This window comes from Homo sapiens, chromosome X (assembly GCF_000001405.40).
Source record: "Homo sapiens chromosome X, GRCh38.p14 Primary Assembly".
Taxonomy (NCBI): domain Eukaryota; kingdom Metazoa; phylum Chordata; class Mammalia; order Primates; family Hominidae; genus Homo; species Homo sapiens.
In genome coordinates this window covers 103,966,572-103,990,384 of record NC_000023.11, presented here as the reverse complement: position 1 = coordinate 103,990,384, position 23,813 = coordinate 103,966,572, and the positions used below count along the sequence as shown (strand labels likewise).

At 43.3% G+C, this 23,813-nt stretch overlaps 1 protein-coding gene, 1 long non-coding RNA gene and 1 pseudogene across 4 annotated transcripts in view, besides 1 other annotated feature; all 3 read right to left on the bottom strand.

Annotated features, from left to right (window-relative positions):
- Nucleotides 1-3,123: 3,123 nt before the first annotated feature.
- On the bottom strand, nt 3,124-6,634 carry LOC107987334 (uncharacterized). Of its 2 annotated transcripts, none has more exons than XR_001755990.3 (3): nt 6,406-6,634; nt 5,244-5,443; nt 3,124-3,489 (listed from the first exon to the last, which is right to left on the bottom strand). It is a non-coding gene; the product is annotated as an uncharacterized LOC107987334 (long non-coding RNA). The 2 variants fall into 2 exon arrangements; XR_001755989.3 differs by having other exon boundaries at nt 6,411-6,628.
- Nucleotides 6,259-6,758: an enhancer, noted in NCBI's record as "H3K4me1 hESC enhancer chrX:103238205-103238704 (GRCh37/hg19 assembly coordinates)". NCBI's record gives its function as "activates a minimal SCP1, AML or CMV promoter by ChIP-STARR-seq in naive H9 embryonic stem cells {active_cell/tissue: H9 hESC(naive)}" and the evidence as "EXISTENCE:reporter gene assay evidence [ECO:0000049][PMID:30033119]".
- H2BW4P (H2B.W histone 4, pseudogene) lies at nt 12,028-14,461 on the bottom strand (annotated as a pseudogene). Its single transcript, NR_003238.2, has 4 exons — nt 14,084-14,461; nt 13,602-13,660; nt 13,206-13,401; nt 12,028-12,373 (listed from the first exon to the last, which is right to left on the bottom strand). The product of NR_003238.2 is annotated as a H2B.W histone 4, pseudogene (transcript).
- Nucleotides 14,462-15,958: 1,497 nt separating this feature from the next.
- The window catches only part of TMSB15B (thymosin beta 15B), a 55,272-nt gene continuing 47,417 nt past the window's right edge, over nt 15,959-23,813 (bottom strand). The window contains exon 4 of the mRNA NM_001350213.2: nt 15,959-17,506. Coding sequence (NP_001337142.1) covers nt 17,364-17,506 — 143 coding nt within the window. The 3' untranslated portion in view covers nt 15,959-17,363. The remainder of the gene's footprint in view (nt 17,507-23,813) is intronic.

The window sequence follows — 23,813 nt, the reverse complement described above, 5'->3', positions numbered from 1 at the left end:
TTGAAGCAATTGTGAATGGGAGTTCACTCATGATTTGGCTCTCTGTTTGTCTGTTATTGGTGTATAGGAATGCTTGTGATTTTTGCACATTGATTTTGTATCCTGAGACTTTGCTGAAGTTGCTTATTAGCTTAAGGAGATTTGGGGCTGAGACGATGGGGTTTTCTAAATATATAATCATGTCATCTGTAAACAGAAACAATTTGACTTCCTCTCTTCCTAATTGAATGCCCTTTATTTCCTTCTCTTGCCTGATTTCCCTGACCAGAACTTCCATTACTATGTTGAATAGGAGTGGTGAGAGAGAGCATCCTTGTCTTGTGCCGGTTTTCAGAGGGAAGGCTTCCAGTTTTTATCCATTCAGTATGATATTGGCTGTGGGTTTGACATAACTAGCTCTTATTATTTTCAGATACATTCCATCAATACCTACTTTATTGAGAGTTTTTAGCCTGATGGGGGGTTGAATTTTGTTGAAGGCCTTTTATGCATCTACTGAGATAATCATGTGTTTTTTATCATTGGTTCTGTTTATGTGATGGATTACGTTTATTGATTTGTGTATGTTACACCAGCCTTGCATCCCAGGTATGAAGCTGACTTGATTGTGATAAATAAGCTTTTTGATGTGCTGCTGGATTCGGTTTGTCAGTATTTTATTGAGGATTTTCGCATCGATGTTCATCAGGGATATTGGTCTGAAATTTTCCATTTTTTTTTGTTGTGTCTCTGCCAGGTTTTGGTATCAGGATGATGCTGGCCTCATAAAAATGAGTTAGGGAGGAGTCCCTCTTTTTCTATTGTTGGGATAGTTTCAGAAGGAATGGTACAAGCTCCTCTTTGTACCTCTGGTAGAATTCGGCTGTGAATCCATCTGGTCCTGGACTTCTTTAGGTTGGTAGGCTATTAATTACTGCCTCAATTTCAGAACTTATTATTGGTTTATTCAAGGATTTGAGTTCTTCCTGGTTTAGACTTGGGAGGGTATAAGTGTCCAGGAATTTATCCATTTCTTCTAGATTTTCTAATTTACCTGCATAGAAGTGTTTATAGTATTCTCTGATGGTAGTTTGTATTTCTGTGAAATCAGTGGTGATATCCCCTAATGAATGTAATTTAACTTGAGTATCCCAGTAAAGAAACCATCTTTAAGTAGAATAGAGATGAGAGGTTAGGAGTCGGATTCACGTATTTGGTGTGGCAGAGGCAGCGGGGGGCACAACTGAACAAATAGAACAAAGGAATCCTGAGTTGTAGATGTGGATATCTCCAGCCTCCTCCAGTATGTTAAGAGAACAATGGTGACTGATGAAGGGAAATAAGGTGATCCCTACGCATGTTTTTAAAAGTCCACTTGAATTTTGAGTAATTTTATTGTATATATTATATATATGCATATACAATATATATATATGCATATACAATATATATATATATATATTTGTCCTTCTCCAGCTCAAAAGGGAGAGAAGATACTCTGTGATTTCAATCCTCAGAAATGTATGACTATTTGCTTTAAAGTCCTAGATTTGGGTAATTTTGTTAAGTGTTTCATTTGCACTTTTATAATAACTTGTAAACCCCACCATTCAGTAGCATGTACAAACTTTTAAGGGACTTCACTGTCAGAGAAACCATGCGACTAACGTTGGATAGTCCTCAAAAATGAACGCCTTTCTGTAGTCCATCAGAAGGAGCTTAGCACCCTCCAGGAGAGACAAAACACAAAGGTGCTTTAACTTTGGTAGACTCCTGTGATGTCAGGTAAATGAATGGGGGTAAGGGAGGATACTAGGGGAAGCATCCCTGAGTAGCCCAGGCATGAAGGGCGCAATGTTTGATCAAGGAGTGGGAATACATGTCTATATTTTTAAGACCTAAATCACAAGAATTCTGGTGGGACAGGATACCTTCAGGACTCTCCTTGGGATCATGAGGGTGAAGATTTAGGATACAGAGCCACCTCAGAAGAATCATTACTTATTTTTATTCTGGGAAATTAAGCAAGTATCATGAAACGACTTGGAAAAACTTTTTTTTTTCCTAAGCAGACCAGGAGAAACTACCACAATTCAACTGCAAGTCAATCCCTCTGGGTGGTGCCTTGAATTTGTCTTAAACTATTGGAAACCAAAGGATCTCTGCGGGCATGTGCACACTTTCCAAAACAGAACTCTGCACATCAGAGGGAAAAAAAAACCATAATTTCTCTACAAATCACTTAATTTCTGTCATACTCATTGCTACTGCTTCAAAATGCCAGTATTTGTCCATACAGCATTCAAAAATGCATCAGAAGCGGGCTGTAGACTTGAAGCCCGGAAGCTCAAAGCTGACTGACACTAATGAAATTTAGGAAGGAGTTGAGGGAAATGGGGTTTGATGTGGAAGATCCAAGGGGAGTTGAGGACATCTGATTGTTGACTTCAGCGGATGCAGGAGGAAAAAGGACGCCTAGGGAGGCTTCGTGATCTGATGGTGAGGTTTACGGAAAGGACAATCTAAAAGGAAATGGTTTTACTGCTTCTGTGACAAAGTATAACTGTCAACCTAGAAAACAGATGTATTAATACGACAGACGTAACCAACCAGGTTGTTTCTTACAACAGGACCCATATTATGGACATCATTTAAATATCTAGGGCCCGGCACAGTGCCTGTAATCCTACCACTTCAGGAGTCCAAGGCGGGTGAATCAATTGAGTTCAGGAATTCGAGATCAGCCAGGGCAACATGGGGAAACCCATCTCTACCAAAAATACAAAAATACACACACACACACACACACACACACACAAATTAGCCAGGCGCAGTGACACATGCCTGCAGTCTCAGCTTCTTATGGGGCTGAGGTAGGAGAATCGCTTGAACCCAGATTGTCCAGTCTACACTGAGCCGAGATGGCGTCATTGCTCTGCAGCCCGGGTGACAAAGTGAGACCCAGTCATAAGAAAAAACTAAAAAAGATATATAATGTAAAATACATATATGTAACATATATATATATATATATAAACTATATAAAAAGAATAAATAAATATCTTAGTATCACCCATCCACAAAATGTATGTGTTTTTGATGACACAAGTACATCATAAAGTTCAAGAATCAATACCTCTCCAAGCTCCCTAGAAACTGAAGTTATTACTCCAACTACTTCTAATGTATCTGATTCTGTCTGTTCTTTTCCAGGTTATATTGTTTTATTTCTGGAAATACCCACCTTCATGACTTGGAACTAACGCATCGTTGGGATGATGGAAACGTCCAATCAGAGGGGTCCAAGCCCCACTTTCCACTGGCTCAGTCCATGGCCATTGGCCCACAGTGCTTGTTCAAACAGTGTGGGATAAGGTCGCTCCTGTAGTCACTCCCTAAATTCCTCCGGTGGCCTGAAACCTGTCCTCTCTAGAACGCTGAGGTGTGTGCTGTCGTAGGCTCCATAGAGAGGGATGGATTGTCATTGGAGTGCCACATTTTAGGGGAGCCCTGAAAGAGGAGGTTGATGAGGGAATTTGGAACACTCGGGGGCCCCTAATCTGGAGGCTCAGATATTGAGACCAGGTTCTAGTCAAGCTACTATTAACAAGTACTGATTTCCCATATTCTCCTTAATGTTGTTCTGTGTGTCTGTTTATGTATGGCCAGGGCCCCAGAAGGGAGAAAGAGCATCTATAATGGTTAGAAACTCCATGCCACTTAAGGGCAATCACTGCGGCATGGAGAAGGAGGATCCACTAAATGGGAGAGGTCACCCTATAGTGATAGGTCCAACCTAAAACCATTAGAGAGCCTACCGCTTTGACCCAGAGAGTAAAGCACCTCTTCTTTTATGCACATGCTCCATGTGTACCACCCAGCAGCATCTCAAGAATTGTATGCTGAATAGGCCGCATCTCAGAAAGACTGCTCATTCCTGAATGCTCTTCCCGTTGGCCCATTGGTCGCATCTGTTTGCCCCTCCCTCTGGGCTCCCGACAAGCCTGTGATGGCTTTGACACATGGAGAATGGTGGACGTTAGCCTGTCCCAGAGGTAACCTTTCAGAGGACTAGAATGGCCTCTGCCTGGCTGTCTGAGAGCTCTGAGCTGCCACGAAAGAAGCCCACCTCTCCTGCTGGAGACACCACAGTGATATGCTCTGAGGGGCCTTGGAGAGGTGCAGAGGCCCAGCTGAGCTCAGCCCTCCAGCCAGCCCCTCCAAGGCATCAAGTATGCCAGTACAAGGTGTCTGGGACCTTCCCCAATGACCTTAGGCATAGGGTGAATAAATAGCACTGAGTGCGGCTCCTCTGGCTTCTATTTGCAAGGGACACTTAAGCACAGTGGAGCCTGTCTCCTCATTGCATCATAGGTCACATGGGTGATCTTGTGGCCTGGTTCTCACTCACGGATCTGTAGGAGTGAAATGCCCATCGTGGGCTCCCAAGGGATTCAACATCTTCTAGGCTAACAAATGTCTTCCAAGGAGGCTCGCTTGACCCGGGCTTGTTCTACAGTTCATCTCGAGGATGGCCTGTGGGTAGGTCATCAGCTACTATTTTGGGGGATACTGGAGCCACTGTGGAATTCCCTGGGACAGTTGCCTTGAGGTTTAGCGTGACTCATCCCCTCTCCATTTCTCCCCCTGTCCTGGAGCGACTATATCCCCTTTCCTAAGCTCGAGGACCCGCTGAATCCTATGTCTTTATTGCGTACAGCTTTCTCTCAAGCAGGCCTGCCTCTGCCGGGTAAAAGCACGGGGCAGGCAGTCGTACTCTGGGCTCTACATCTGTCCCTCCTGCCAACCACCCTTTCGCAGGCATTCATTAGAAACTTAATCTAGCATAGTACTTGATGCCTGTCAGGGCTACTTACTCATGATGCGACCTTGGTAGCGGTTGACACAATCTGTCTGATATAACTCAAAGGAGAATCAATGCCTGCACATCCTGGAAGAGAGCTAGGAGGGGAATGAGTGAGGACTACACTTGTGTGCATTACCTACACAGCCGAGTGCCTGCCACATGGTACCCTAAGATGCCCAATGAAAAATGGTTACGATGGTGTTTATTGTAGTGCTGGATGCTGGAAGGTGAGGAAGGATGAGATGTGGCCCCATGGTCTGTGACATTGCAACTGAGGGGACAACTAGCACAGGAATGATCCCCAAGGATTATCTAGAGAAGGCAGCAGGTGATCAAGGCCGCCATGCCTGCATGCTGGGGGTCAGAGGGGAGGAAGAGGAAGAGGCAGGGAACTCACCACAGGCCTGCACCAGACACCGCATCTAGCATGCTACATGGACTCTCTCTTTCCTTCCTCATCACAATCCGTCTGTGGGGATGTGGCAAATAGTATGGCCATGTCACAGTTGGAGATCCTGAGATTCAAGGAGGGAGTAGTGGCTCTAGGCTGGGAGGGTCAGGACATCTTCACAGGGGAGTCAGGATTTGAGCCAAGACCTGAAAAGTGAATAGGATTCAGATAGGGAGACGGTGGGTGGAGGAAAGGAGGTGGTATGGGAAGCCAGGTTCCTTGGCCGTGAGGGGGAATAGCTTGCCACAAAGCCCCGAGTGGGTAGTGCCCCAAGCCAGGAGCACTGTAAAGTTGCTCCCCAGCAACTTCCCGTCAGGACTCAGAGCAGAATTATCTCCACCGCTTCACTAACATGTGGCTCAGGAGGGAAAAGTCATTGTCCCTTATCTCACTGTCAGCCCGAAGCAAACAGATGGGGCCCAGGTAGCCAGGAGAGCGTGTTCATACAGCTGTCTGGCACTGGATCCCACCCCCACCACCTGTGATTGCCCGAGGACACGAATCTCGGTATTGGAACCACGTACAGCCGACATTCATTGGTTGCAGACTATGTATCTGGCACCCCATCTGCATCATCACCCTGGATCTTGACAACCACCTTCTAGATCTGTATTCCACAGAGGAGGAAACTGAGATTCAGAGAAGTCAAGCCACTTGCGCAAGGCAATACAGCCAGTAAGAGGCACAGCTGAGGTCTGAACCCAGATCTCCTCTGACTCCCAAACCCGTGCCCTCAATCACTCTTGCAGTCGAGTCTGGTCCCACTAGCTCACATGAGTCCTAAGACCCAAACAGACGTTCTCACGATGTTGTGTCATTTTCCCATGTTAATGCAGCCTAGCCACACTAGTTGCCTCCAGGAAATAAAGTCACCAGAACTTCAAAGAGAAGACAAAAAAAAAGCTATTAAAAGTAAATTGGTCTCATTACCCAAGAACTTTAGTGTTTCAAACCCCAAAGGATGCCCTTATTCTATCCCCAGATCTTTCCCCTAGAAGGGTGGCCACGCGTCCTGATTTTGCCTGTTGTCCCAGCCCGATGATTCATAGTGCTGCATTTACTCTGAAAGCTGCCCCCATATGTATTCAACAAGAAATTATGTGCTCACCTTACCTATGAAAAGGCAAAGAAGCCTCACACATCAGGTCTTTGGGAACCCTGGTGCACCATGCTGAACGAGGATCTGCAGCTTTCTCAAGAGAAAGTGGGCTCCTGGAGGAAGAAATAAGGAATAAACAGATGAGGAGTATGATTTAGAGAGGATTCGTAGTACCACCGAGCTTTTTTGGAACTGGAGTGGTCGCAGAACAGGAGTGGAAGAATGCGTGGAATGCAGAGCTCGCCCTAGTTGAGAGTGGGCGGGGTTGAGCACCTGCTCCGTGGCAGGTGAGAGGCGGGGAGCATGTCGACAGACACCCACTGTGATTGCCAAGCAACAGGACCATCGAGTTGCCTCTGAGGCCGGGAGGATTGCTGGTAGGCTCCCTGCTTGGCACTTCATTCAGTCAGATGTGGAGTTGGTGGCCTGTGACGTAACCATGTGGTGACTATAAAAGGCCCTCCCGCCTGTGGTCAACCATCATTGTCTGTTCCTCACATCCACTGGCAGTTGCCTCTGAGATGGTTAAGCCTTCCTCTGAGACGACCTCTGACAAAGGCCTGAGCACGAAGGAGCGGAAAGCGGCCGATGCCACTATGGCCCACAAGCAGCAGCAGAAGACAAGCAGCTGATATTTCTGGGTTTTGACCTTTTCTTGTTTGTTTTGTTTTCTGTAAAGTAAAGGTATCGTTCCAGTAAGTTTCACCAAGATTATGACACAACCAAGGATGCCTGAGGTGTCTTCAAAGGGGCGGAAAGTAGATTTCACAAGGTCCAGAATTGCCCCAAACCCCAGACGGCTCAAAGAGAAAAGAAAGTTTTGCTAGCCTTTCACAGGATACAACCCACATATTTGTCCTACCAAATTTTCTAGGATCTTAGATTCTCAGCTATCTCCACAAGAAGGCCAAAGGGCCTCATGTGCCCGCATCGCAGGTGAAGGAAGACAGGAAATCAAAAGCAATCCAAGGAAGGGAAAAGGGTCAATAAGAAATAGATACTCCCCAAAAGTCACACCAATATCCAACCAAGAAGGGCGGGTTTCCTGACTAGCAATGCAACCCACGGCGTTGAGGCGAAAGTGCAGAATTTGGACTCGAAGGTCACAAGGTGGAGTGGCCTTTGTTGTTATTCCCACATGGGGCAGTTTGAGCAGACACAGGAGGTTATCTTTGTTTTGGTCTGATTTTTGCTCTTCACTTTTGTCAAGCCAAGTTTTAAGGCTAGCTGCCACACCATGATGTATCTTTTTATATATTTAACATTTTTATCAATCGGTTAGAATGACAAATCTCTAAAATCCTTTTAACATAATTTAGTGGGTTAATTTAGAGGATCAATCTATTGGCCATTGACAATTAGACTTCTCAATAGTGTACTGAAGTTCAATAGCGACTGGATGCCATACCCTCTTCAGAGAAGAAGTAATTCCAAAGATTGCCCCTATTCCCAGACATAGGCTAAGATAAGAAATGATTCGTGGGATTGCAGTTTGCCAACATGAGATAGCTAGACCAGCGGTCCCCAACCTTTCTGGCACCAATAACCGGTTTCAGGGAAGACAATTTTTCCACAGAACGTCATTGAGGGGATGGTTTTGGGATGACTCAAGTGCATTACACTTATTGTGCACTTTATCTCTATTATTATTATTATATTGTAATGTGTAATGAAATAATATTACGACTCACCATAATGTAGAATCAGTGGGAGCCCTGAACTTGTTTTCCTGCAACTAGATGTTCCCATATGGGGGTGATGGGGACAGTGACAGATCGTCGTTCATTAGGTTCCCATAAGGAGTGTGCAAGCTAAGATCCCTCTATCTCCAATGTAACTATTAGACTCCTGACCCCTCATCTCTCTCCTACTTGCAGGTAGGACCTTTACTGGGGTACTCAAGTTAAATTACATTCATTAGGGTGCGCTCTATCCAAAATGACTAGTATGCATTTTGCATACCAAAAGGGGAAATTCAGACACAGAGACATGTGTTCAGGGAAGAAAATGTGAAGTGGCATGGCGAGAACTGGGCCACCTACAAGCCAAGGAAAGATCCCTGGAAGAGATCCTTCCCTCTTACTACTCAGAAGTAACCAACCCAGCTGACGCTTTGATTTGGACTTCCAGCCTGCCGAACCACGACAATAAATTTCTGCTGTTTATCCCACCAGGTTTGTGGTACTTTGTCAGAATGACCCTAGCAAACTACTAGAGGTTCTGTTGCCAAGCAGTGGGATGATGTGATAAGGAACATCCGAAAGACTGGAAGAGGCCTTGGAAGTAAGTAATGCATACAGGCCAGAAGTGTTTTGATATGCACGACACAAGAAGCCTAGAGTGCCTTTAGGAAATGGCGGGGGAAAATATGAACACCAAATGACATTGAAACGAGGGTTAAGAAAGAGTTCTTTGCTGTAGAGAAAGGATCTCTGACTTAGAGAATACATATATCATGACCACCGAAATGTTGCTAGAACTATGTGTATTAAAGGTGCTTCTGGTGTGTTTTCAGATGGAGACTAGGAAGAGGTTATTGGAAGCATGAGGAAAGGCCATCCTAGTTTTACAGTGGCAAAGGCTTGGGCTGTATTGTGTTCCTAGTGTCTTTGAGGAAAGTAGAAATTGTAAGTGATGAACATGCACATGTAGCTGATTTCTATTGTTGGAGCTCAGGGCACAATACCCCAAAATGAGGGCTTCAGAAGTAGTCTCAGATGAAAAAGATTTTCTCTGACATTCTTGGTCCTCCTGTCTGTCAGTCCCATTCTACCCCAGGGGCTAAACATAAAGACCAGAATCCCTCTTCCCGAAGGTGGGTCCAAGAAATCAGAAGCTCTTTTTTCTAAAGGTAGTCACAAAACCTAGAAATGTATTGTAACATTTTCCACATTTTCATGTAAAAACTGTCTGTGAAAAAATCATCTAACCTATCTCGTTTGAAAGGAAGTCACAAGATCGCCATTCCAGAGAGGGTCCTGCCCCGTATCCGGGAGGAAGTACTGTGTGCTCAGACAGGCCAAGCGGAGTCTAGACACACAGGCCTTGTCGGGTTTCCCCCACTCTGTCTATTGGCATTAGATCATAGCCTTTTTGTCCCATCATATTTCTACACGGCTGTCTGTATTCCTTTGAGCCAAGGCATAAAAACAGATAATTTCCCATGTGTCTTTGGCTATTAACACTAAAGGCTCCCGGGGATACACGTTGTATAAGTTGGTATGCCTTATGTCCTATGGATCTGCCTTTTGTGACTTCAGTTTTCAGCGAAACTTAAGAGGAGCAGGGGGAACCTTGGTCACTACACTGGCAAACTGAGAAAAGTTTTTAGGATTTAATCTGGTTTCTCCTAGATCTGTATATTAAATGGGAGAGAAGAGAGAGAAATTAGCCAAGGAAGCACTAAGGAAAAGGAAGCCAGCATTGGATGGTTCAGAAGGTACTCAAAGTATGCAGACACCTTGCTCTGGAAATAGGTGCAAGGGTGTGCCCGGAAAACCATTAGCCTAAGAGGAGAGACATGTGGCTCAGATCCAATCAACCATCTCTGCAGAAGTTAGGAATTGAGATAAGGGAGATATGGGTATTCAAGAAAGATCTTTAGACAACTTCTTGCCTGATGGCCTGGACTCATGTGAATTCCATGGGAAGCCAAAAAATTTTTGAGAATTTTATACCAAAAAAATGTTGCCGGAATGGACTGAACCAGAAAAAGATGGGATGAAATGCAAGGAGGCTGTTAGAGTTCCTGGACTGTACCGGCAAGAAAGGGACTGACTGAGGTACCCAGCTGTGACCGTTTCTTCATTTTTGAGACAGTGAAGAAGGACTAGAAAGTTGGGTCAGAGGTTGGCATGGCCGTCACTGCCTCCAAGAACCAGGGGCACATTACTAGGGGACTGGGCCATCTCTCTCTTCGTCCCAGAAACAGAGGTCACCTCCCAAGTTCCAGGCATTTGTCCCACTTCCTCGGTTTCAGAGGGATGGGCTGCAGCAGCCCAGGCTGGGGGGAGATCCCCCACCCCGCTGCCCAGGGCTTAGGGTGTAAAGCTGTTACCCCACTGGGCCTGAAGGACAGAGCATTGAGGCCAAGTAGAATCTTTTCCATCCTTAGAATCTAATGGAATTTGCCCCCACTAGGTTTCAAAGGTGCTTAAGGTCCACGAACTCCAGTAGTTTTTCAGATTTCCTACTTTTGGTATGATAAGCCCTATCTGGTACCAGTCCCACACTGTCTTTCAGAAACAGATAACTCGTCTAGCTTCGCAGGTGCAGTGGTGGAGAGAATTCCCACCTCAGCATGAGTCACACCTGGAGACTCACCCATTCCAGACATAGAAGATTATCAGGTGAGATACTGGAGAACTGATTTTGGAGTGAGTTAAGACTTTGGGGATGTTGTGATGAAATGAATATATTTTCTATGTGTGGACGTTAATTTGTGCCGCGGAATGGATGCAGAATATGTACTAGTATGTATGGAGTTCTGTCTCCCTAAAAGTCACAGGTAGAAGTCCTGGCCCCTAGTGTTTTAGAATGTGACCTTATTCGGAGAGAGTCTCTACACAGGCCATCTGGTTAAGGTGAAGTTGTGAGGTTTGACCCTACCCAACAGGATTGGTCTCCTTACCAAAAGGTGAAAATTGGTATCCAGAACTGTGAGATTAAAAATAAATAGTGTTTAAGTTAGCCAGTCCCTGGAATGTTTTTGAAGCGGCCCTCGAAAACTAATAGAATACACCTCCATCAACAGCATTAAAATCATACAACCCATCGAGGAATCAAAGAAGTACACCCCTCTAATCACAGGTTTCCCCTTCAACTCCCATTGAACATCCCTGGACAACTAACTCTTCCTAGTTCAGACCGGGAGACCTGATCACACTTTGGGCTGTGGCCCCTCGGCTGCAGTTGCCTCACTGGCTGACATGGATCCGAGTGGAGCTTGTGCTGCGCCATCGGACAGCATTCCATGATCCCCATGACACGTAGAGGCCAGTCATGAAGATTTTCAAAAACAAAAGATTCTATCCTGAAGAAGAGCAGAATCAGATAAATCTAAACAAGTGAGATTTCATTACGAGGGAGCCTAGAATAGGTATTGTTCCTTAAACTTTTTGATGTAGTTTTCTCTGTGCTGCGTTCGGGTCCTTGCTTATGTTTTCAAATGGACTCCAGCTTACAGGGAAAGCTGATAAAATGTTTGACTGGACTATGTTTATCCCACTCATGCTATTTTCCCTACATTGATACTTCTTATTTGTTGTTTAGGTAGCAAAGCTCTTTCCCTTAGTTTGTGTTTCCTATAAGTCGCAACATGACATCATGATTGCTCGCTACGTTTCCCTTCTGCTCAATCACTCACTGAAATGCTATATCAAATGTGCGAGCTTCCTCTTCCGATCTTCGCATCAATCCACCCCCTTCCTCTTTCTTCCTATAATTCACCAACATCAGTCCCCTTGCCACCTCATTCTTCACTCCCCACAAACAAATCAGATTTCATTGTTAACCCTGTTTTACTAATCCTCCTCTTTGATTTCTGAATTTACAAAGGGAAAACACATATTCCAGGGTAAAATATCCCAATGGATCTGGTTTCTCAAAAGGACTTGTCTAATTACACACATATGCAAGGGTAACTTCAGAAATTTATTCGTATGTCTTAATTCACAGAAACATTGGCACTTTACAGCAAAACAATTAGCATAATGAGAAATAAGTCACTGAGTGAGATGTGGTGTTTTGGAACAGGTATACAGCTCTGTCTCTAGAAAGGAACAGGGTTCTGCCAAGTGTCTTTGGTTTGGCAAGGGTTGTTCTGGACTTGTAGGAACATGTGGCGGCACCATCCAGAGGGATTTACTTGCAGCTGATTTTGTGGGAGTTTTTCTTGGTCTCCTTGTGCAGTAAGTACAGCTTCAACTATTTTCATAACATTTCTCTTCAACTATTTTCATAATATTTTTCTAATATTCTGGAAAAACAGAAAGTAACAAATCCCAGTGAGTGGACTTCTTGGTTCTATATCATTTCTCTATGGATCCCAAGTGGAGCTCTGGAGGTGACCTTCCCCTCTTCCCATCTGCACTACTCAGGGAAGCTCTGGCTACTATCCTGCCCCGAACCCTTTTCCCTCTTGACCAAGGGGTCCTCTTTAAATGGTGAAATAATCTATGTGGCTATGTGTTGGGTCCCTCTGGGGTGGTTCTTTCCCACTTCTGACGGGCTCAAGAAAATTTTGATTTTTGTCATTTATCCAGCTTTTGCTTCGTGGTTTGACTGAGAGTGCCATCCTTTACTGGTTTCTACATATGAAGGAGAAGGGTTGTTTATGAGATGTTTCAAAATTTACGGGAAACATTTAACAAAAATGGCCACATATTGAGCTTCAAGGCACAACATAATAAATTCCTGTGGGTTGCAATCCCAGAGTATGTCCTCTTGTCCACATACTCGGGCGACTGGAAATCAATGGAAAAGGAAAGCAATGGGTAAGTCAGCACCTGCTCTGAAATTCAGCAATACACTTATAGAAAAAAAAAATTCTAAAAATACCAAGACTTGGGACCCAGAAGAGAGCACAATGAAAGGTAGCCTGTATTAATATTAACGTGAATATTAATATGCCAATCTTTTGAGGAAATAAGCGTTATCTGACTTCTTCTAATGGCTGACAATGCTCTGTATAACTTGATGTTAGGGTCAAGGAACGTATATTAATCTTAGCTTTGGATTCATATCCCTAAAAGACCATGATTACAAACACTGCAAACAAAAACATCAGGTAAAGAATCACATCGCCATGCCTTTAACCACCACGTGGAATATCACAGGAAGGCTGTTGTGGGTTCAGCTTCGGTCACTCGTCCCACATTGGGACAATGAGTGTTGCTCATAGACTTCAGGTCACTCATTGGCTGCACCACTGTACACTAGGGCATGAGCTGTTTCCGTGGACACTCTGTAATTCTACTGACACACATCTGGAAGGAAGGAAGGTTTCTGTTCAAAAAGAAACGAAATGATTATTGTCAGTGCAAAAAGAGAATGAATTGCAATAGTGATCTCAGAGTCAGGGAAGCTGGAAAACGAATGGATTCTTGAAAATTTATTTAGCTATATGTACACTGTAACTGTGCCTCGTTTGCTTATTTACATGGATTCATGGGGAGAAAGATGCTGAACACTTTTAGCAGGGTTACCTTGCTTCTTATATCAGCGTATTCACTTTCTCTCTTGCCATATCGCACATAATGAAGTTCTGGAAAATTCCACCATCCAGTTGTAGGAGAATGAGAGTGAAAAGGGTAAACATCAGTACATTGATAATATCACCACAAAGATAACCTAGAAAGATAACTGATAAAAACGGCCATTTAGGAAACTGAGGACATGAAACACGATTACGGAAACACCCCCTACTTTTCCTTGGAGCATATTGCACTACAGATGTATTGGAGTTGACAGTGTTTTGCACTGTGGGAAAAATGCTTGAAAAACCGCAGAAGGCCACACGCCACATGCTCCCCAAGCCAGAACGGTGCCACCCACCCCAATCTCCAGTGGGGTCCCCTCCTTGGCAGGCCACTGGTCTTTAGGGCCACGTGTGGTGGTTCTGAACAGAGCATTTGGCTTTCCCGGGTGCTCGGGCGCTCCTGAGATAGCTCACTTGCTTTTGGTGTACCTGAGGGTGGCATTCGTGCCCTGAGACTCAGCGAGCTTGCCCATCTTCCCCGGCAGCAGCAGGCACACGGCCATCCGAATGTCCCGGGAGGTGATGGTCACGCACTTGGAGTAGTGGGCCAGGTGACCAGCCTCGGTGGCGATGCGGTCCAGTATGTCACGAACCATAGAATCCATGACACTCACGGCCTCCTGGGAAAGGCTGAGGGCCTGGTGAACCTGCTTCAGCACCCGGGGGAAATAGGCGGCAAAGCTGTCCCCGAAGATATCTCCACCGCTGTTGGCATGGCGCCTACGGGAGCCTCGAAGCCCTCACTTCTTCTGCTTCTGGGCCGTCATGGAGTTGGCCTCTTTGGGCTCCTGGATGCTCTGGTCTTCCTCAGAGGTTGTCTTAGAGAAAGCCTCAGCCATGGTGGAGGCAGTGGCCACTGGATGGCAAGAACAGACAATGACGGTTGTGGACAGGGGAAGGGTGGGGGGGAATTTAGTGTGGCCACATGGCTCTATGTCACAGTCCAACTCGACATCTGATTGCATGAAGTGTCACCCAGGGAGCCTGTCAGCCATCCTCCCTGCATTGAAGGTGACTGGATGATCCTGTTGCTTGGTATCATGTCAACCAATCACAGTGGGCACCTGCCGGCCTAAGTGGCCCCAGTTGCCTCCCTCAGACAAAAGTACACAGATAGATACCCCACAGGGCAAAACCACATCAACCCTCCCCAGCTGATCCATGCCACACCGTGAGCACTTTGAAGGGTGTCACGGAAAACTCCCAAAGTTTAGCAATTTCAGCTCATGCTCCTTGAAGAGGGCTTGACCTCCTGAGCCCAAGTCCATTATGCCAGAGGAATGACAGTGGCCACGTGTGGACCACTTCTCACCCATCTCAGAATCTTCTGTTATCAAGGGCTAAGCCACCCCGGCTTGAGCAGGAACACCCTGACATGGCTGCCGAAGGGTCCTGGGCATTAAAGGGACCTGGCTGTTCGGCTCCTGTCCTCAGTTATGATCGACACCTTCAGTGAATGTGGATAAGGAACGATGGCCAAACCACAGTCTCCAAGCACACAACACAAACAGAAATTGAGATGCTTGTAAAAATATTACAAATCCTTAAACATGTGCGAAATTTAAAATTGTTTTCTTAACAGTATTTTGATCCCCAAAATACTCTGAATGTTAGTGTTGGTGAATAAGTGATGTTGGGTGAAAAAATGTTACCCCAATTCTCTAAGAAACCTCCTTATGGAGAAAAATTGAATCCATGAAATTGGAAATATTTTGAAGTTAAAAAATACCCTTCAAGAATCTATGATAATACATTCAGAAACATTTATTAAATATATGAATGTAAAACATAAATCCCAGAAACTGAACCAAACAAGGATTTAGCGATTAAGAAGAATTAAAGAAATAGCAATCACCAAGAAGGTACCATCCCAAATTCCAATGCTGTTTCCTGTCAGACTTTTAAGATCAGGTCATTTATTGCTAGTAAGATGGTTCCAGGTTTAAAGAGAGAAAACTTTTTCTTTTTTTGAGACAGAGTCTCGCTCTGTCGCCCAGGCTGGAGTGCAGTGGTGCGATCTCAGCTCACTGCAACCTCTGCCTCCTGGGTTCAAGTGATTTCCCTGCCTCAGCTTCCCGAGTAGCTGGGACTAGAAGCGCGCACCACCACGCCCGGCTAGTTTTCATATTTTTTTTTTTGTAGAGATGTGGTTTCATCATGTTTCCCCAGACTGGTGTAGAACTCCTGGACTCAAGCGATCCTCCTGCCTCGGCCTCCCAAGGAGCTGGGATTACAGGCATGAGCTACTGCGCCCAGCCGACAAAACTTATTTCAAGAAAATATAATATGATGTTGATACCCATTGAAGGAAGCATACTAAATATATATATATATATATATACATATATATATATGTATATGTATATATATGAGCAGCTCATTTATAAATGTGGTTACAAAACTCATACCTGAAATACTAGTAATTAAATTACATTACACACACCCACCCACACACACACACACACACGCACACACAGGGAAACAGTTTACTGCTATAAATAAAAATTCAGAAGGATCGAACTGGGACAAACATTACTAATGGAACAAGCAGACCTCATACAATCTTTTTTCAACATTACCTCTGTTATAGAATTCATTTAAACACATAACAAAAACCCACAGTGCAGAAATAGCTGAGTCAAATAAATCAATGAACCCTTTTTAAGCTTCCTAGAAACTGAAATAACTGCTCTAAGTCATTCACATTTGTCTAATTATATTATTTCCCAGTCTACAATCTTTTTTAATGCAAAGCTTAACCCCTATGAGTATGCATCACTTATGATAGAAGTATCCAATGAGAGCATCCAAACCCCACTCTCCACTGGCTAAACTAATGAAGTATCTCCAGTCCTGGGCCTCAGCCATTGGCTCAAAATGTGAGCAGGTGAACTGTCCTGAATCAATAAGTCTCCTCCTAGCTGTTCAGCCTTGTAAATTGAAGAGAAAATTAGTTTGAGGTTTTTGTCTACTTTTTATTTCTTTGTTTGATTTTTCGTTTTATTGTAATCGTGGTGATTTCAGGATATGAATCCACAGCTGTAAGCATGTCTTCTACCTCTCGCATCATATTGTGAAGAAAAATTCTTTGTAAAGGAATTTGGAGGAAAGAGGCTATTCCTGTGTACAGTTTGCAAACCAGGGAGGTGCAGACTTCAGTGTAAAACAAAAGTGCAGTTCCAGAGAACAAAGAGAGGATATGGCTTTTATAGAGAAAGTTCCTATCGAGGTTCCCAGTACAGTCAATTTATGCAAATAAACAATTCAAACTTAGTTCTGATTGGTTGACTCAGTTGAGCTCTGGTTGGTCAATACAGCTGAGCCCTTATTGGCAGCGACAGGTGAGCTCTGGTTGGTTGCTTCAGGTGAGCTCTGAAAGTTCCAAAGTTAGATAGAGGTGTGGGTTTTCGGGGAATTTGTAGTACACGTGTTAGCTCTAGTCAACACGTGGCAGCTTGGCTCTATTTTAAATTTAAGCTCAGTTAGCCACTGGGATCCATCTTGAAAGATTGGCTCTTTTAGGTTCTCATTTGTTCACAAGTTTAAGAAAATGACAGTGACCAATTAAGAAAACTAGGTGCCGGGCGTGGTGGCTCACGCCTGTAATCCCAGCACTTTGGGAGGCCGAGGTGGGCGGATCAGGAGGTCAAGAGATCGAGACCATCCTGGCCAACATGGCGAAACCCCATCTTTACTAAAAATACCAAATTTAGCCTGGCTTGGTGATGTGCCTGAGGTCCCAGCTACTCGGGAGGCTGAGGCAGGAGAACTGCTTGAACTCGGGAAGCGAAGTTTGCAGTGAGCCGAAATCGTGTCGCTGCACTCCAGCCTGGCGACAGAGCGAGACTCCTTCTAAAAAAAAAAAAAAGAAAGAAAAAGTAGGATGACTCTTCCTTTTTTTTTTTTTTCAATTTGATTGTTGTGGGGCTTTTTCACTTTCAACCACATGTGTCTGACAAAATTAACCCACTATGGTAATATGAGACAATAAAAACATTTACTTCAGTACAATGCCTTCTCCAAAATGTGATTGGTCCTAATTCTTGACGGAATATAATACTCTTCTTATTTCATCATAGACTGACACTCTGGAATAGGGGGGAATGAGTGTGGACATGAGTGGGGGCACAGAAAAAGCTTTAAAGGGTGACTATTTACTTTTTTTCCTTATCCCAGACATTTTCCCTAGCATAGTGACCATATGTCCTGATTTCGCCTGTTGTCCCTTAGTAATTCTTAATAGCATCCCTTTCACTCTGAAATATGTCCAAATTTACGACTCTGTACTTCCCAGGGTAACTAGATCATGCAGGAAGTTGTGAGTGTAGTAGCTCTCAGATCTTTGTTAAATGAACAGATAAATGAATGAACCTACATTAGATAAGAGACTGGCCCCTGACAACGTATGAGACCATTGCTGAATTCTGTGGCTAGTCCACACGACCCTTCTGGACCTCTTGGACACAGACCCCTTTCCTGTACTGCACTTTAAAAAAAATTCTTTCTCTACAAAGCTGTCTGAGTCCCAGTGTTAAACCCATGTGAATGTCAGATTGTGTTTCCTCCATGGTTTGCTTATCAGCTTTACTCCTCCTAATAGCCCTTTGTGGTGTACATATTTTAGCCTCAATTTTTTGCAGACAAAACACAGAGTAACTAAGTAATGTGTCCAATGATCACACAGCTGATAAATGGAAGAGCAGGGATTCAAATCCACGTCAGTCTGAGTCCAGAACCCAAGCACTTGAACGTTGTCCTCTGCCATCCTATCTCATATTGTAGTGATGGCACCTTCAAGGCATGGATACCTTAGGTAGACAGGATGAGGTGAGCCTCACCTTTAGAGCAAGTCTTTTCATAGCTTGATTTTTCCTTGAGGGCAATGTGATCAGTTCAGAGGTATAAAAGCAAAAGCATCAAGTTAGGTTTCATGCAAAGGTATACAAGGAACCTGATTTTCTCCTGAAACCACGGGAGTTTTTTCAAGCAGCAGTTAGGAAATTTAACCATTCCCGTGCTCAATTCTGTGTTTCAATACATGTCTAAACCACATGCGTAGCCATTCCACGTTGCATAATTGTGTCCAATACAGACGGACTCCAACTTAGGATGGTTCGACTTAAAATTATTTGACTTTACGATAGGTTTAACCGGACTGAACTCCATTGTAAGTTGAGGAGCATATGTTTATTCTGCTGCAAATTGGTGAGAGAAAGGGTGGGAATCAGGGAGTGAGAAATGTTTTCAGGTTAGGATTATACAGTCATTACTTGATAACCCACATTTAGCCCTGTGATGGCCAATTTTATGCCTTGTCTTGTCTTTCCAACCAGGGGGAGATTTTTTTCCCAAATAAACAAGGATAGAGATTTAGGTAACCCGACTTGGTTGGGTTACAGTATCTAGATATGTGGTCAAATTTTATTCTGAATGTTTCTGTGAAGGTGTGTTTGGGATTAACATTTAAATCAATGGACCTGAGTACAACAGACTGCCCTCCATAATGGCCTGAATAGAACAAAAAGACTGACTTCCCCCAAGCAAGAGTAAATTCTGCAGCAAACAGCCTTCACACTTGAACTGCAATATCGGCTCTCCCGTGGGTCTTCAGCCTCATGGTCTTTAGACTTAAACTGTAATCTCAGCTTTTACCTGGGACTCCAGGCTGCCAGCCCATCCTGCAGATTTTGGACTTGCCAGCCTCCATAATCACATGAATCAATTTCTTAAAATAAATCTATCTGTCTATCTATCTAGATAGATAGATAGATGATAGATAGATAGATAGATAGATAGATAGATAGATAGATAGATAGATATCCTATTGGTTTTATAACTCTGGAAATCCCTAATACAAGCTTTCTGCACCAAAACTTTGCTGCAGAGATCTCAGTGTTGTTTCCACACATAAAGTATCCAGTTATATATCAGACATTTTCATTATTCCATTAATCAATATCTTTGCCTTTAATTAGTGACCACACAGTTATGTCAGTAGTTTTTCCTGGCTCTTTAGAGATGTTTCTTCACCATTTGATATGACTGGGGACAACAACATATTCAGTTCAATGGTAAAGTTGAGGACTTAATTGCAATTATTATTACTGAAAATAACAATCCCTAGAACATAGGTAGATTCCACATGGCACCTATTAACCAGAAGATTGAATTAACTTACCCTACTTCTGACCTTGCCAGTTAATTGCACTCCCTTTCATTACCACCCATATAACCGACACTCATTTTGGTTGGTGTCAATTAAACTAGGCATTGCTATAGTAATAAAAAGAGTCACCACGGACTGAGTGGCGACTATTCCAGGCATTGTTCTAAGTGCTTTACAGGGAACACTTTAATTGCCTTTCACAAGATCTCTGTGAAGTAGTGTTATTTCCTCCGTTTTGTGGATGAAGAAACTGAACCACAAAAGATTGTCACTTGCCCAAGATCAAACAGGTAGAAGATTACCAAGGCAAGAATCAAACATATTTCTACACATTTAAGCTTCTGCCCAGAAAAGAAAATATCATCAGAGTGAACAGGCAACCTACAGAATGGGAGAAAATTTTTGCAATCTTTCCATCTGACAAAGGGCTAATATCCAGAATCTACAAGAAACTTAAACAAATTTACAAGAAAAAAATACAAAATCAAAAAGTGGGCAAAGGATATGAACAGACACTTCTCAAAAGAAGACATTTATGTGGCCAACAAACATATGAAAATAAAAGCTCATCATGACTGCTCATTAGAGAAATGCAAATCAAAACCACAATGTGATACCATCTCACGCCTGTTAGAATGGTGATCACTAAAAGTCTGGAAACAACAGATGCTGGAGAGGATGCAGAGAAATAGGAACACATTTACACTGTTGGTTGGAGTGTAAATTAATTCGACCATTGTGGAAGACAGTGTGGCCATTCCTCAACGATATAGAACCAGAAATACCATTTGACCCAGCAATCCCATTACTGGATATATACCTAAAGGATTATAAATCATTCTACTGTAAAGACACATGCATACGTATGTTTATTGCAGCATTATTTACAATAGCAAAGACTTGGATCCAATGCAAATGCCCATCAATGATAGACTGGATAAAGATAATGTGCCACATATACACCATGGAATACTATGCAGCCATATAAAAAGAATGAGTTCATGTCCTTTGCAGGGACATGGATGAAGCTGAAAACCATTATCTTCAGCAAACTAACACAGGAACAAAAAACCGAATGCCACATGTTCTCATTCATAAGTGGGAACTGAACAATGAGAACACGTGGACACAGGGAGGGGAACATCACCCACCTGGGCCTGTCAGGGGTTAGGGGCAAAGGGGAGGGAGAGCATTACAATAAATACTGAATGCATGCAGAGCTTAAAACCTAGATGATGGGTTGATATGTGCAGCAAACCACCATAGCACATGAATACCTGTATAACACACCTGCATGTTCAGCACATGTATCCCAGAACTTAATGTAAATTTAAAAAAAAAATTTAAAAAGACTCCAAAGGCAAGGCATTCTCATTAGGTATGAACATGCATTGGTTAAATTCTAGGAGTGTTTATAAAACTCACTGGCCTGCAGAGTTTCATGGGAATTGTAAGTCGTAATACTAAATGAGACTTTTTTTATTCTTTGCAGAGATGAATTAGGCATGAAATTTTATTTGGCTGATTTTTCTCTTTTAACTTTCAGTATATTTTTTCTTTCTGATATTTCATTTTCTGTTCTTAGTAATTAAAGTCATCTCTGCCTATGTACACTGACAGAATAAAAGTGTAAAGCCACTGACCAGTGATTTTCAAGGGATGTTAATGCATAAAAGAAGACAATCATTTAACTCCAGCCTTTTCCTTTCCCTATAAATACAACTGCTATAACAAAGCCCTGGTACTGCCAGTTTTGCAGATAATAGATGGATTCAGGGACATAAATCTCAATCCTTGCTTATTTGGAAAAAAAAAATATATACCCCTGATTCAAAAAACAAGTAAAGCTAGTGACTAAAAGAGTAGCCCAACATTAAATACTTGAGAAACGTGGGGCAAAACTACTGCAGATGAGCAACTGCAGTTTTTCCCATCTCATTCCTGTATGAGTATTCACTTAGTAATTACATGTCTTTCACCTCCCGCCATGCACTTCTAATCTGCTCCCACTCAGTTTAACACTTACACTACCCAGGGTACAAATCAAGACTTTAATGAAAAGGATGGCTACCAGATGCAACTAACTAGGAGTTATTGTTCAATCCTAGGTCACCTGACAACATTCATGCTTTCCTTTGAGCTGCATTAATGTACAAATGAAGAGGTTGCTGAATCTATCATAGATGAATAGCATCTTTATCAAATTTGCAAATGACAACACAGAAAGGGGAGCAACTGTGTTGGATGATTGAACCAGGATTCACAGACCCGGTAATGAGCAAATCTGAGCATATCTGCAACCAGGATGGTTTCCCATCTGTGTAACTTGGGTCTGAAGGATCTGAGAAGTGTCAGTTGCAGAAGACTTGGAGGTAGAGGGACAGGACACAACAGCTGACTTCAAATTCTGGAGGATGGATTAACTACTGTCTCTAGGCCTCCAGCACATAATCCCAGGACTATTGAATAGAAGCTACAGGGAGGCACGTTTGGGCACAATGTAAGAAGCATATCACTGCAAGGAGCTGAGTGACTTTACTGGACAATTGCCTCAGGCAGGAGATAAGGTACTGGTGACTAACATGGTTACTTCCAAGGCTCAAATCCTCTGGCTACACACTAAGCCCCGTGACTGTGTCACCTCATTGGCACTTGATTGAAGTTGACCTACCTACTGTTTTGCTTTTGAAACTTTAAGCTGCAGCAGAGAAAACAGCTTTCACTTCATGTAATCCCACTGATTATTTAAGAATGTGAGCCCTTAGAAAGGGTGAGGTAAGGCAGGGCATGGTGGCTCACGCCTATAATCCCAGCACTTCGGGAGGCTGAGGAGGGCAGATCACGAGCTCAGGAGTTCGAGACCAGCCCGGCCAGCATAGTGAAACTCCATCTCTACTAAAAATACAAAAATTAGCCAGGCATGGTGGCACACACCTGTAGTCCCAGCTACTCGGGAGGCTGAGGCAAGAGAATAGCTTGAACCCGGGAAGCAGAGGTTATGGTAAGCCGAGATTGCAGCACTGCACTCCAGCCTGGGCAACAGAATGAGACTCCATCTCAAGAAAGAAAAGAAAGAAAAGAAAGAAAGAAAGAGAAAGAAAGAAAGAAAGAAAGAAAGAAAGAAAGAAAGAAAGAAAGAAAGAGAAAGGAGGAGGTAAGTTAATACTTGAGGTTGAAAATAGGTATGAATGGTATAATCCGTCTTTGTAGGAAGATATGTACATTAATAGATCACAAGTCTGGATGGCTAATACTTCTAATTGGTGGGATTATAGGTTATTTGTTTTTATACACATGATTAAAGTAGGCTTAGCATGGTAGCTCATGCCTGTAATCCCAGCACTTTGGGAGGCTGAGGCAGACAGATTGCTTGAGCCCAAGAGTTCAAGACCAGCCTGGACAACATAGCGAGACCTGATCTCTACTAATAATCAAAAATATTAGCTGGCTGTGGTGGCACGTGCCTGTAGTCCCAGGTGCTAGGGAGGCTGAGGTGGGAGGATTGCTTGAGCACAGGAGGTCAAGGCTGCAGTGAGCCATGATTGTACCACTGCACTCCAGCGTGGGCAACAGAGCAAGACCCTGTCTCATAAAAATAAAATAATAATTTTTAAAAAGAGATAAAAGTATTGTTTAAAGGCAGGAATTAAAATGCATGCAATTATACATATTCCTTACTGTATTAGCTCAGGCTGCTGTAACAAAATACTGTAGACTGAATGACTTAAACAACATAAATTTACTTGCTCACAGTTCTAGATTCAAGAAATCTCAAGTCGACGTCCAGCAGGGTCAGATTCTGGTGGGGGCTCTCTTCCTGGCTTGTAGACAGGCACCTTCTTGCTGTGTCCTCGCATGTTAGAGACTGGTCTCTCTCTCCTTATAAGGCCACAGTCCTATTAGATTAGGCCCTGACTGTTATCACTTCATAACGTAAATTACTTCTGAAACAACCTATCTCCAGATACAATCATGCTAGGGATTAGGGCTTCA